Source organism: Homo sapiens, chromosome 11, assembly GCF_000001405.40.
Source record: "Homo sapiens chromosome 11, GRCh38.p14 Primary Assembly".
NCBI lineage: Eukaryota > Metazoa > Chordata > Mammalia > Primates > Hominidae > Homo > Homo sapiens.
This window is the reverse complement of record NC_000011.10, coordinates 35,209,475-35,223,324: the sequence shown is the minus strand read 5'-3', so window position 1 is coordinate 35,223,324 and position 13,850 is coordinate 35,209,475. Positions and strand designations below refer to the sequence as shown.

The window sequence follows — 13,850 nt, the reverse complement described above, 5'->3', positions numbered from 1 at the left end:
CAATAGGAAATTCATATTTAATTGAGCAAAAGTAATCCAAGGGAAAATGAGGAAGCTGAAGGGAGGTATAAAGACTCTTTGTAAAGGCTCCCCCAAGTCACATTATTTAAATTCAACTAAAAAAAATCTTTCCATTCAATCATAGGCGGCCTTTTAGATTTTTTCTCTCAGTTTTGTTCCTTATACAATCAGGTAGCATAACTACTTTTTAAAACTATGCCCTCAATGGTATAGATAGCAACATAGCTGTTTGACTGTAACATGGCACTTTTATTAACTTGTACCAGCGTAATTATTGTAACAGCATCATTTGATTTTCTCAGATAATTAGAGACTGTATGGGCTGCCCATGGTGTTGGAATTAGCTGTTGGTTGCTTTCCAAAAACCAGTAAGGAGTCCATAATTCTCTCTAGGTCTTCTCCCAGACTGAGGGGCATTTTTCTGCCCTGTGAGGTGATCTGGGGACACAATAAAGGTGGTCCTGCTTGGAAATAAGTTTCTTTTACCTTATGAGAAACCATCTAAAGGGACATTTACAAAAGGCTTAATATTCCTATGAATTACGTCCTGGAGAAAAATAATGTATCTTTAAAGTGTCTTGGGTAAGAAATTTAGATTTATACTTTTATAAATTTAGATTTATACCCCTGTTAAAGGTCATTTCCTCTGTTGCTAGAATTACTATTGTGTATATATAATGTATGTGTATATATATATATATATATTATATATAAAATGTAAATAACATGTAAACCTATAGGTCTTGGTTCAGGTAGGGAGAGAGTGGCCTTCAAGAATATAAAAACAGCCCATGTGTCAGTTCTAGCGAGGTGACTGTCTTCATTTAGTTGTTTTCCAAAGGAAAGTTCTTCTCTGCTTCATAGACCTCCTAACAGCAAGAAGACGATGAAACAGTGCTCTTCTTATGCTATAACCTGAATCTCTTCAACTACAGTTCCCAGAAAATAGAAAATGATATCATTACAAAAACCAAACAACAAACAAAAGCACAAGGCCAATAAAAAAACAAACGACAAACAAAAGCACAAGGCCAATACTTCCTTCTGGTAAAAGTTCTTAAAGGTTCCCTGGGCCTCAGAGAGGCTACAGGGGATGATGAATCACTGAATCTTTATACGATATTTGTGCATTGTGAATGTATTTAATAAATATTTAACAAATCAATGAATGAGTATATACTTTTGTGTGCCTTCCTGGTGAGATACTTCATAACTTTCATCAGACAGAGTCTGCATGAGGTTTAACCCTAAAAAACATGTAAAATCACAAAGGATTCAACCACTACCTAAAAGTGATGAGCCAAACAATCACAGGTGTCTCCTGTCTCTAAAAACCGGGGCAGAGAAAGATGTCTTAAGCTGCACCATGCACATGAATCCCTGGAAACTTGTTAAGATGCAGACTCTGCCATAGGAGGTCTGGGGTTGGGTCTGAGATTGTGCATTTCCAACAAACTCCCAGGGTACCCAGGCTGCTGGTTCCAGGGACTACGCTCTGAGCAGCAAGGATATAAAGCCCAGGTTTAAATGATGCCCTTTCCAAGTTGAAAGCCCCCAGGACAGCCCCTTACCTTCTTCGACTGTTGACTGCAATGCAAACTGCAAGAATCAAAGCCAAGGCCAAGAGGGATGCCAAGATGATCAGCCATTCTGGTATGAGTAAATTAAATGACATGCGTGAGCTTCAGAGACACACTTTGTAAAAACAAAAATGCACTTTATAATTGACCTAGTTGAAACAAGCACCACAGTCAGCGCTGCAGGGGGGTCTGGCCAATAGGTCCAGCCAATAGGCAGGTAATTCTGGAAGAGCAATTTGCTGAAGGTATTTGTCCAACAGCCTTCTTGCTTTAATCTTTTATCATCAGTCAGGATTTTCAAGTCCCTTCAGGAGAACTATGTTTCTAAAAAAGGACAGGATGACTTGTTGAATCTTGTAGATGCCTTTGGTATAATATTATTAAACATATAAAAGGAAATGTAGGCTTCTTTTGAAAGGAACATTTTTTTCCTGTATAAGAGCATCCACCTATCCACCTTACATTGTATTAAAAAACAAAAATGGAGGCAATAAAGGATTGGTTAAATAAATTAGGGTACATCTATTGCATTACGCACTACAATATGAGGAGGAAATATTCAATGACATGGAAGCCATGGTTAACCAGTAGGCAATGTTTGCTAAACACCGTGTAAGGTGTAATCACATTTTGGTATATATTTTACATTTTAAAATGACAGGAAAGGCCGGGTGCGGTGGCTCACGCCTGTAATCCCAGCACTTTAGGAGGCTGAAGTGGGTGAATCACGAGGTCAGGAGTTTGAGACCAGCCTGACCAACATGGTGAAACCCCATCTCTAAAACTACAAAAATTAGCTGGGCATGGTGGCATGCTGTAATCTCAGCTACTCAGGAGGCTGAGGCAGGAGAATCGCTTGAACTCAGGAAGCAGAGGTTGCAGTGGGCCGAGGTCGCGCCACTGCACTCCAGCCTGGGCAACAAAGCAAAACTCCATCTCAAAAAAAAAAAAAAAAAAAAAGACGTATATTAAAATGGTAACCATGGTATTTCTGGATGGTGAGATTGATAATAATTGATTTATATTTCCATTATTTTATTTAGTTGTATTTTTTCAAATGTTTTCAATAATTATATATCACTTGTGGATTAATATTCTACACATTTTGAAATCAGGCTCTTTTAGGACTAAAATATGACTTGACAACTCCACTAAATTCAGTTGCAAAGTGGGTTGTATATGTGTGCAATGAACCAGGGCTTGAGAAAGAAGAGGCATGGAAAGTCTCATTATCTGTTTTCTTCTTGGAAATTTTGGTTTATCTCTGATTTCCTGCTCAGCACTACCTTTGCCTCACCTTTTCCTGGTTTAGATGAGTTTGGAGAGGGAGGTAGAGTCAGAAGTGGGGGAGACTGACAGGAGGGCCCGATTTCTGTTCTTCCTTTCTACTCCTGCCCACTGTGGCCCTGGTTTCCAGCCCTGAGATATCCCACCTGCACTGTCACTGGAGCTGGGAAGAATCTTGCTGCCTGATGACAGCTAAGGCTTCCCCTGTGCTCTCCCTTGGGACAGCCCACCCCTGTCTCTGTCTGGTCTGTCTTCAGGTGTGCTTAGGCAAGCTGGGGCAAAGGAGAACGGTGCATGCCACATTCTTCTCTTTCCCCAAGAGAGGCTCAGTCTGGAGACCTCTGAAGAGGAGAGAATTAAAAGGGTAATTTACAACCTTAGGAGAACCCTTCCCTTTAGTAATTCTCTATGACAAATCAATTTTAATTCCAAGTCAAATAAAGAATTTGCAACAAATGCCTTGTCTTGATGCTCAGGAGAACCAGGTGTCCCAGCCTCCTCACTGCACATGCATACTTTCTGAAAAGTTTATTCTGTCCACATCAGCAGGCGGTCCCTCGACCAAAAAAAAATTAGTTGGGGAACCAAAAGAAAGTTTTCACTCCATCTAACATAAATGCCTCTTGTAGCTCCTCCCTGTCTGTAATCGTAAAAGGAAAATTACATGCTTCACCTTGGACCCCAGAAATAAGTGGAAATTGGATTGGGATAGAAAGGACCTAGGTATGACATGGGGTCCTCTTGGTGATCATTCATTTAGGAAGGAAGCTTTAGTAACTAACATGGCACTTCTCTGGGACAGGCCAGGGACAGATCTGAGTATGAGCTCAGCTAGTTTGCAGAACCCAGGAAGAAAAGACTATTCCATCTTTTCCTACCAAGAGGGTGTAGTATTCTCATTCATCCTTTAACTTGTAAAGAGGAGCAATTGGATTCATATGTTGGGCATTGTGGAGAATGTGCTTTCAAATGAGTCTCTTCGTCCTTGCTGGGACATTCTGAGAAAGCTGCTTTCAGTGTGTTTTTCTGCCTCAAAGTTTGAAACTCACCTGGAATTTGGGGTGTCCTTATAGGACCAGAGGTTGTGTTTGCTCCACCTTCTTGACTCCCATGTGAGTGTCCTAAGGGGAAAAACAACATCTCTCAACCAAAGTTTGAAATGTGTAACCATGAGTTCCTTGTGGAGCTGCATAAAGGGCAGCTCTCCACATTCTGAATCACTGAGAAGCCATTTATGGATTCAAGCTGCAGATGTTTATAAAGCATTACACAAAAGATTTCCCCCCCACCTCATTTGATTAAGGCTAAGGCTTAGTAATGTTATTTTGTGTCAAGGAACATGAGAATTCTCAGCAGCAGTGTTGCACAGTGTTCAGGACTTTGGTGTCTAGAGCTGGACAACCCTGGATTTAAGTCTCACCGCTGTCCCTTGCTAACTAGCCATGTGTGCTGGGTCAATCTACCTTCTCCAAGTCTCCCTTTTCACACTCGTAAGATGGGGATAACAGAATGCTGTTCATCATAATTTTGCAGAGATTTGAAGAAATACACGGTATTGGTAGTTGTGTGTGGTTGTTATTTTCTATTTTTAATTTAGGACCTTGCTACTCAAAGTGTGGCTCTCAGACCATCAGGACAGGCATACCTGGGGAGATCGCTAGAAATGCAGAATCTTATGCCTCATCTCAAAGCTACCAAATCAGAATCTTCATTTTAACAAGACCCCCAGGGGACTCACACGCTCCAGAAAGCCCAAAGGGAACCTGAAAATCTCATCCAATAGCATCATAGGAGCCAACATAAACACTATAAAATAAGGAGTTTGCTCACGCCTGTAATCCCAGTACTTTGGGAGGCTGAAGCAGGCGGATCACAAGGTCAAGAGATTGAGATCAACCTAGTCAACATGGTGAAACCCCGTCTCTACTAAAAATACAAAAATTAGCCAGGCATAGTGGCATGTGCCTGTAGTCCCAGCTACTCGGGAGGCTGAGGCAGGAGAATTGCTTGAACCCAGGAAGCAGAGGTTGCAGTGAGCTGAGATTGTGCCTCTGCATTACAGCTTGGCAACAGAGCGAGACTCCACCTCACAATAAATAAATAAGGAGTTTAGCGGCAGTGGCCCTTTCTGACTATGAAAAATCACCCTATTAGAGTCCCTGCTAATATATTACTGAAACACACCTTGTTAGAAGAATCAACATTTTCTACTGCTAAAAAGCAAAATAAGGAGATGAACAAAATGCCTTAAACTGGGAGGAAGTATCGCAAGACAGACAATCCTCAAGTCAGAACTGGAGGCCTATCGAAATGAGGGAGACACAATGGTTCTAAAAGAAACTTCTAAGAAGCCGGGCATGGTGGCTCACACCTGTAATCCCAGCACTTTGGGAGGCTGAGACAGGAGGATCTCTTGAGTCCAGGACTTTGAGACCAGCCTGGGAAACATAGGGAGATCCTGTCCCTGTTAAAAATAAAAATAATAAATAAATAAACAATTTTTTTAAAAAAGAAACTTCTAAGACATCTTGTGAAGAGCCTCATCAAAATGAAAGCTTCATGAATTTTTAAAAATTCTTCCTCCATTGCTTCAAAACAAAATTTGAAAGTGTTCCACCAAAATGAACTTTTTTTTTCCTACCAAATGGAAGCCCACTGTAGAATCCTGAAGGCTGATCAATGGATGAAAATGGTGGGGTCTTAAATGAGAGCTTTCCTCATGGAGCCAAACTTTAGGCTGTGCACACTGAAATCTTGATTACAATGGTTATATGGGGACAGGATGGCTCTTGTTTATGCAATTTGATGCTTTTGTTAAAACTTAAAAGGGAGCAAAACCAGTTCCTACCAGACATCTGGGTGTTTCAACATCCCCTATCCTATGTTGACAGTGGCCTTTGACTTTACAAATCTCCAAAACAGTCCAAGGCCCTTTCCCTACATGCCTTCCAGTGTCCTTGGTGGTTGGCAGGTTTTCACCTGCCCAACTCATGGGACACTGGCCACCTAAACTGAAGATCTTTGGCCGTGAAAACTCCCCAGGAGGTACAGTCACTCTCACTGTTCTTTTTTTTTTTTTTCTTTTCTGACTCATAGAAGCCTTTGATATTTAAAAAGAGGCCATTAACGGATCATAATCACTTTATTTTGATTTAAAAAAAAAAAAAAAGAAGAAGTGCTCCCAGCAAGAAAAGATCTGGGTGTGCGTGCAGCAAGATGAAACCTCCTGTTTGAACAATAGACACCTGCTCAGAAGCCAAACAAAAGAGACTGGCTCCTGTCTGCTTGATTCTCACTTCAAGCAAAAGCCACAGAAGATGGATGTGAGATAGCAGGTCTTGCCTTGTGCCCTAGATGTCTACAAATCCAGCCAGGGTAGGACTGGCCACAGTAGCAAGTTCCACAAAGAGGAGCACTTGATATTCCTGTTGGGAGATGACATGTAATCTGAGACATATGCACAGAGATTGTTCAATTGGCTTCAATGGTGAGAAAAGCAGTCTAGCACAGTCTAAGCTTCCAAATTTTAATGTGCATATAAACCACCTGGGTGGGAGAGTGTAGTTAAAATGCAGATCCTGATTCAGTAGGTCTGGGTTGGCCAAGGATTCTGCATTTCCAACAAGTTCCTAGGTGATGTCCACTCTGATGGTTAAAGAATCATACTTAGAGAGTGGCTGGGGTCTCTTGGTTTTAGAGATCATGCCCCTTAATAATAACTCCCTACTTTTTCAGAGTACTTTCACACTTCTGGTACCCTGTCTTCCTCACAATAACTCTAGGAAGCAACTGAGGCAGATGATTTGATCTCCTTTTTACTAACAAGGAAACTGAGTCTGGGAAAGGTTAAGTGCCCTGCCTAAAGTCCCCAGTGAACCTGTGACTTCTGTCTCTATTTCAGAAGCATTTCTAATGAATCCCTACCTCCTAGTGCTCCTCCATAGAGAGTTATTGTGGAAGCCACCATGTAAATATCCATCTTCATATTTGTTTTCAATGTGTAAACATTTAAATCTGATGGTGAGCCTCACTCAAACTTGGGCATAAAAAGGGGAGACAATAATTGATATGGCTTAAATCATTTACATGGGGTCACCTGGATTTATGATGTTCAGGGAGACCACAGTAAGGCAGCACTGGCAGAACCTCCCAGTAGCCCAGCAGTAGAAGTAATTAGTAAACCTACCTCATGTCAGACTTTTGCAGTCTGGGGTAAGGTTTGTAGGGGTGTGATCTGAATCACAACAAACAGGAGTCTATTTAAGAATTCATGCCTGGGAGTAATTATGGTCATTATGGAATGCCTTCTCCAGACTGTGCTATGAGAAGTAATACAAGGCCCTCCAGGCTTGAAAGGTGGCTCCATCACTCTCTGGTCCTGTCAACTCTGCCAAGTTACTTACCTTCTCTGAGCCTTAGTTTCCTCATCTGTAACATGGGGATAATAATAGTACTTACCTATGTCACAGAGTTTATAGGATGACTGAATGAGTTCATACTAGATAAACTCTATGAATTTGCTGATATTAACCTGTTTTTTTGTTTTTTGTTTTTTGGTTTTTTTTGAGACAGAGTCTTGCTCTGTCACCCAGGCTGGAGTGCAGTGGTGCAATCTTGGCTCACTGCAAACTCTGCCTGCCAGGTCCGAGCAATTCTCCTGCCTCAGCCTCCTGAGTAGCTGGGATTACAGGTGCGCAGGACCACGCCCGGCTAATTTTTGTATTTTTAGTAGAGACAGGGTTGGCCAGGCTGGTCTCGAACTCCTGACCTCGTGATCCACCTGCCTCGGCCTCCTAAAGTGCTGGGATTACAGGTGTGAGCCACCGTGCCTGGCCGATATTGACCTGTTCTTGACCTACAATAATGGCAGTTCCATTTGGCCCAACCTAATACATGTAAAGTGTTTAGAAAGATGCTGCTGGCACACAGTAAATTCCCAACAAATACCAGTGATGATATCATGTGCCAGGATTATGCTAAATGCTTTACATGTATTCTATCATTTAGTCTTTGAAACAATGTCCTGTGACAATTGTTATTATTCCAAGTTTATTAGTTGAGAAATGTTGTCTCAGACCCTTTAAAGCATCTTGCTCAGTTAATATGCGGAGGGCTGGAATCGAACTCAGGCCATTTTTGCTACAAAGCTCAAGCTCTTAATCACTCTGGTGTAGTGCAAGGTTAAATTGGGACACTGCTTGAATTCTTCCTGAGGCTTTCAGATGCAAGGCTTTCCTCCAGAGCAGTAGCTCTCAAAGTGCAATCCCTGTCCCAGCAGTGTCAGTATTACCAGGGAACTGATTAGAAATGCAAATGCTTGGGCTCCACCCCAGACCTACTGAATCAGGAACCTTAAGGGTGGGGTCCAGCATTGTGGTTTAATAAGCCCTCCCTGCAATTGTGATGTATGCTAAGAAGGTTTGAGAACCACTTCTCTGGAGACACTGACTCATACTTCGTTGGTAGTCATCATTAGGCTCAATGATTATAACAGTAAATGACTAAAGCAGTTTTGAACTCACCATCTGATTCAGATCCATGAGTGGTATGGGACCCCCCACTGGGGTGGAATGTGTCTTGGTCTCCTGTAATGAGCAATCAGGAAGGTCAGTACTGCATGTTTTCACTTACACTCCCATCTGCATTTCTTTACCTTTGCATTCTTATACAGCCTATCACAAAGTTTAGTCTTTTTAAGGTATTCCAAAAAATGATGGCAAAACAGCCTTGAATGGGTCCACAATGTTAATTACCGTTCATTGCTTAATCCACTGATAAATGAGCTAGAACTTTAATAAGAATTAAGGAAACTGGGGCAGCAAAGGCTAAGAAGGATGACCACAGGAAGTTTTGTAGAAACTTTGTTTTGGTAGAAATCCAAGAACTGTGGTAAGGAACATGCTAACAAAAATATTGTGATATCTTTGCAGGTATGAGGTTGAGACTAGACATTGTACATTTTAAATAAGGACAATATGAATTGGATTATGAGAAACATAATCACTGCAAATGGGCATACTCTGGCTTAGGGCATGAAACAGAGATTTCTTGGCGGCAGGAAATTAGTATGCAATAAGGAATCTTGGGATTGAATGATGTAAAGATTCAAAGAGAAAGGTCAACTACTTATTTTCAAAAAAAATTGAAAATAAGTAAAAAAGGAAATGGTGAGATGATAGCTAACATTAATAATGTGTATTGGAATATGGGTATTATAGTAAGTTTAAAATAATTTTTTAAAGTTAAATCTGTAGTTTCAACATGACTAGTTAATATAATCCTAGCTTCTCAAACATCTATCACCAGAAAGCTTTAGATTAAGACAACCTCATGAATTGCTAGAATCTAAATCCATAGGTCAAATCTTGAATGCAGCATATTAAAACTCTCTCCCCCACCCACATTTTTCAAAAGCATACTGGAATCTTTTTTTTTTTTTAATCACAGGACAATGCTTACATAAAATGGCTACAGTTATCCATTATGAAGGCACCTTATAAGGAATCTATAGTAACCTGATCGTCACCATTTCCTTGATTAGAGAAGGTGGAAGCGGGTGACACTTAGTCACCTGTGTAACTATATTGAAGAGACAGATTGCTTTGTTCCTTGGCTGATGGTTAAAACAAATGAAAACAACATTTGCTGAAATGCCACACCAATACTCCCACTACCAAAATCACCATGACCGTCACCATCCCATCACCATCATTATCACCATCACCATCACCATCACCACCACCACCACTGCCACTATGATTCTAAATGCTTCAGTTCTTTTTTGGGGGACGGAGCCTCGTTCTGTCGCCCAGGCTGGAGTGCAGTGGCACGATCTCGGCTCACTGCAACCTCCAATTCCTGGGTTCAAGTGATTTTCATGCCTTAGTCTCCTGAGTAGGTGAGACTACAGGCACCTGCCACCATGCCTGGCTAATATTTTGTATTTTTAGTAGAGACGAGGTTTCGCCATGTTGGCCAGGCTGGTCTCAGACTCCTGACCTCAAGTGATCCGCTTGCTTCAACAAATGCTTTAGTTCTTAACATTAAGCGTAAAGACTGAGAAAAATGTATAGACATAAATGAGATTTATGTGGGTGAGTGTTTTTGAAGAAAACCAAGGATGAGAATTGGGTGACTTAATTGTCTAATCCATGGAGAATTATGGAAAATCTGTCCGTACCACTGTGGAAATCAGAAAGAATCAGTGTCTGTGAATATCAGTCTTGTAAAAAGCATTTGATTTACTAACATTAGGCTATAAGCATTCTAGGGTACTGTGACTATTAAAATTGCCATTTAAACTTTAAATTCATGGCTGGGCGTGGTGGCTCACGTCTGTAATCCTAGCACTTTGGGAGGCTGAGGCTGGTGGATCACTTGAGGTCAGGAGTTCGAGACCAGCCTGGCCAACATGGTGAAACCCCATTTCTACTAAAAATAAAAAAATTAGCCGGGCGTGGTGGCACACATCTGTAATCCCAGCTACTCAGGAGGCTGAGGCAAGAGAATCGCTTGAACCCGGGAGGCAGAGGTTGCAGTGAGCCGAGATCGCGCCACTGTACTACAGTGTGGGTGACAGGGCAAGACTCTTTAAAAAAAAAAAATTAAATTCATTGGGTTGCACAACAGGCTTTCTTTTGCCAAGAGAAATGAGACAGCACTATAAGATTTTCTGAAGAATACTGACAATGGTACTTGGAATTTTTAATAAATGAGAGCAGAACAATGCTGAATAAAGAACTAAGGAGTGTAAGGGGCTTTGTCTTGCCAATATTGCTGAAGTTAGCATTTTCTTAAACTGTTTTTCTTGAAGCTCTTGGGTAGGCCACCCAGAGAAATGAGGCCAAGCATGTGGCATTCTGAATTTTCTGTCCCTGCATCACAACCGTCATCTGTTTTACATATTGGATTCTCATGGAGGCTGAGGCAGGAGAATTGCTTGAACTCAGGAGGCGGAGGTTGAGGTGAGCCAAGATCGCACCATTGGACTCCAGCCTGGGCAACAAGAGTGAAACTCCGTCTCAAAAAAAAAAATTATATATATATGCACACATATGAATTCTTCTTTTTCTTTTTTGGGGGGAGGAGAGAAGATCTCTGCTCCAAAATTATGTATCTAAAGTCTCTAATCTTGAATATGCCTAGTGATTGTGTTACAAAGCAATTGAAAAACTAGTACTAGGAAGACAGAATCTGTTTTTTATTTCTTCACTACAGTGGGCGTTTTCCATTTCCCCTTTCTTCACTGTTAATTTCTTAATACAAATGGAGAAGCAAAGAAAAGCAGAAGCAGAGATGACTACTTATTTGAGAAAAAAAAAGACTTATTCTAGGTCCGTGTCAAACTTCATTGAATAAATTATCTTCGTTCCTCTCTTCACTATTACAATAAGAGAAGTGGTCCCTATTCATTAATACTAGATTAAATCATGAACATTTTAAGTGTGCATCAGAACTAGAAGAGGTTTATCCATCACCAAAAGTAAAACTGATCAATCTATTACCAAAACAAGATAATAATTTCAGAGCAAAGATACTAGTATATAGAAATTATTCACCTGTAGGATAAAACCTTACAAAATAAGTAGAGTATATTAGTCGAATTAAACGGAATTGCTAAAATTCGACTACTTTCACCTGCAAAAATATCAGTTTCATGTGGTTCAACTTCATATATCACAAGATAAGACAAAGAAAGCAATTCCATCATAACAGCCAACTTGTACACACAACACACACACACACACACACACACACACACATGCAAACACAGACAAATGGAAAAAACACTGGCAAAAGGAAGCATTCTTTTATCTAAAATATACCCAAGTTTATTTGCACTAGAATTGATAACCAATAATGAAAGATATTTCCATATCACAAACTAGTCCAATCCCAGACTACACAGAAAATGTCCTCTGTAATATGAAACTATATATTGTTTCTCTATATAGAGAAAGCAAACTAGATAATAAATGCCAAATTACCTGATAAGGAACGATTGACATTAGAGTTGGAATCTCCAACAGTAACTGCAGTAACTCCAAAGGACCCAGTCTTAGCTGAGGTCACTGGGATGAAGGTCCTGCTTTCCTTCGTGTGTGGGTAATGAGAGGTATAACCTTCCAGTAAAGTAGTTGAGCCTTCAGAATGATTTGGGTCTCTTCTTCCACCTGTGACATCATTCCTATCTGTGTGGAGGTGGAATCAGTGATGAACCCGTATTTGTAAGATCACCACCCACCATGTGCTTGTCTCCAGAACACACAATTGCTGCAAAAGCTTTCCACTTGTTATCCATAAATAGGGAGAAATAGAGTGAAGTTTGTCATACTATTGAACAGAATAAATATTTTGCAATAGACACTACTTGGACATCACTCAACAGAAGAGATTTTGGTGATCTTAATACCCAGAATTGGCATTTGTTGCAACATCTGCTTGGGTTATTAGGTAAGGCTATGTCACTACAACTGTGATCTTGAAGTCAGCTGAGGTACTAGATAATCTTGAGTTCTTTCTCAATTGGATTCATCTTTGATGTAGTGGAGGAAACATATCATTGGATTGAAAGATAAAATTTTGCTGCCTGCAATTAAAATAGCAAATGCATGGTTTCAAAGGCCTGAGGCTACTAATTTAATTATTCTTTTCTTTTCCAGAAGGGACTGCTTTTTAGTCATCAGCACCATGGAGGTCCAGAGGACAAAAGGCAAAACAATATTATTGTGAGGAATGTAAAGTGATATAATCAGACATTTACGCCAATTATAAATCACACTGCAAAAGAACTGAAATCATAGCAAACAGTCTATTGGACCACAGCGCAATCAAATTTGAAATCAAGACTAAGAAACTCACTCAAAACCATACAATTACATGGAAATTAAATAACCTGCTCCTGAATGACTTCTGGGTAAATAATGAAATTAATGCAGAAATCAAGAAGTTCTTTGAAACTAATAAGAACAAAGATACAACATATCAGAATCTCTGGGACACAGCTAAGGCAGTAGTAAGAGGGAAATTTATAGCACTAAATTTAAACGCCCACATAAAAAAGTTAGAAAGATCTCAAGTTAACAAAAATAAATAAATAAAATAAATCATATATAAGCAATCCATTATTGTTAAAACAAATCACTAACTCTAGAGTGAAAGAAACCCAACTTTTAAGATGAAGAAATGTAGTTTGCACTTAATGTACGAAGAGGTATATAAAACAGAAAAATCAGAGAACCACCACCAGACGCACCTTTTGATTAAAAGTAACAGTGTAACGGCAGCTAATGGATGCACCTCCACCAAAGACACTGCAAAAGTACCCATAATTGATTGATTCTTATCAATAGCTGAAGCCAACTAGGTTTTATAATCCTTACTGCTTGATGTCAGAGTAGAAGTTGTTGGATGGTCTTTATCTTCTTCCAAGCCTTCATGTGATGTAGAGAAGCTCTGAGAATTACTCTGCTCTGTTTCAATGAGGAATGAATCCAGTGTTAATTTGAAGCTACGGTACAAATCCTGTTATCTGCTAGCAAGGAAAATCTAGCTAGAGTAGAGTCAGATGGATAGGTGCATAGGAAGACCAAGGTTTGTGCACACAATTCTCCTCTGATTGATAGAAATATACAGAAGAATTCTATTTTGCCCCTATTTGGTTCTGAAGACCCTTTATTTCTCAGTATAATCATCAAAGGTAAAGTGGCAAGGTGAAGACTGAGCCAAAACTTTGCCTATCCTGGATTGTCCAGGCTCAATTGCAGCATTGCTCCCAGTCACTCCAGAAAACCAGAGAACACAGAGACATGGAAAAAAGAATATTTGAATCCCAATGCTCCTATCAGTAACCAAAAGCACCTAACTGTGTGTCAAGAAATGTGACGGCAGGGAAAATGAACACTATGATAGCCTGTAGTCTAGTTGTAACCACAAAAGAAAAAGAAGCCTATCTAGAATAGC

The 13,850-nt window shown here is 40.1% G+C and overlaps 1 protein-coding gene and 1 long non-coding RNA gene across 40 annotated transcripts in view, besides 2 other annotated features; one reads left to right on the top strand and one right to left on the bottom strand.

The window, feature by feature from the left end:
• Positions 1–13,850, bottom strand: part of CD44 (CD44 molecule (IN blood group)) — a 93,232-nt gene that overhangs the window by 9,078 nt on the left and 70,304 nt on the right. For 27 of the 39 annotated variants that reach the window (NM_001440324.1, XM_005253232.4, XM_017018583.3 and 24 more), the window contains 5 exons: positions 13,271–13,360; positions 11,876–12,079; positions 8,411–8,473; positions 3,938–4,009; positions 1,593–1,671 (listed from right to left, as the gene is read on the bottom strand). In NM_001440324.1, coding sequence (NP_001427253.1) covers positions 1,593–1,671; positions 3,938–4,009; positions 8,411–8,473; positions 11,876–12,079; positions 13,271–13,360 — 508 coding nt within the window. Of the gene's footprint in view, positions 1–5; positions 951–1,592; positions 1,672–3,937; positions 4,010–8,410; positions 8,474–11,875; positions 12,080–13,270; positions 13,361–13,850 lie in introns of those variants that run through there. The other 12 variants (XM_011520482.3, NM_001440338.1, NM_001440349.1 and 9 more) reach the window with 6 other exon arrangements.
• Positions 5,549–6,378: an enhancer, noted in NCBI's record as "NANOG hESC enhancer chr11:35238494-35239323 (GRCh37/hg19 assembly coordinates)". NCBI's record gives its function as "activates a minimal SCP1, AML or CMV promoter by ChIP-STARR-seq in naive H9 embryonic stem cells {active_cell/tissue: H9 hESC(naive)}" and the evidence as "EXISTENCE:reporter gene assay evidence [ECO:0000049][PMID:30033119]".
• Positions 7,886–9,085: an enhancer, noted in NCBI's record as "CDK7 strongly-dependent group 2 enhancer chr11:35235787-35236986 (GRCh37/hg19 assembly coordinates)". NCBI's record gives its function as "activates an origin of replication core promoter dependent on BRD2, BRD4, P300/CBP, MED14 and CDK7 cofactors, with strong dependence on CDK7, by STARR-seq in HCT116 cells {active_cell/tissue: HCT116}" and the evidence as "EXISTENCE:reporter gene assay evidence [ECO:0000049][PMID:35650434]".
• On the top strand, positions 8,315–13,707 carry CD44-AS1 (CD44 antisense RNA 1). The gene is made up of 2 exons (NR_174965.1): positions 8,315–8,494; positions 12,551–13,707. It is a non-coding gene; the product is annotated as a CD44 antisense RNA 1 (long non-coding RNA).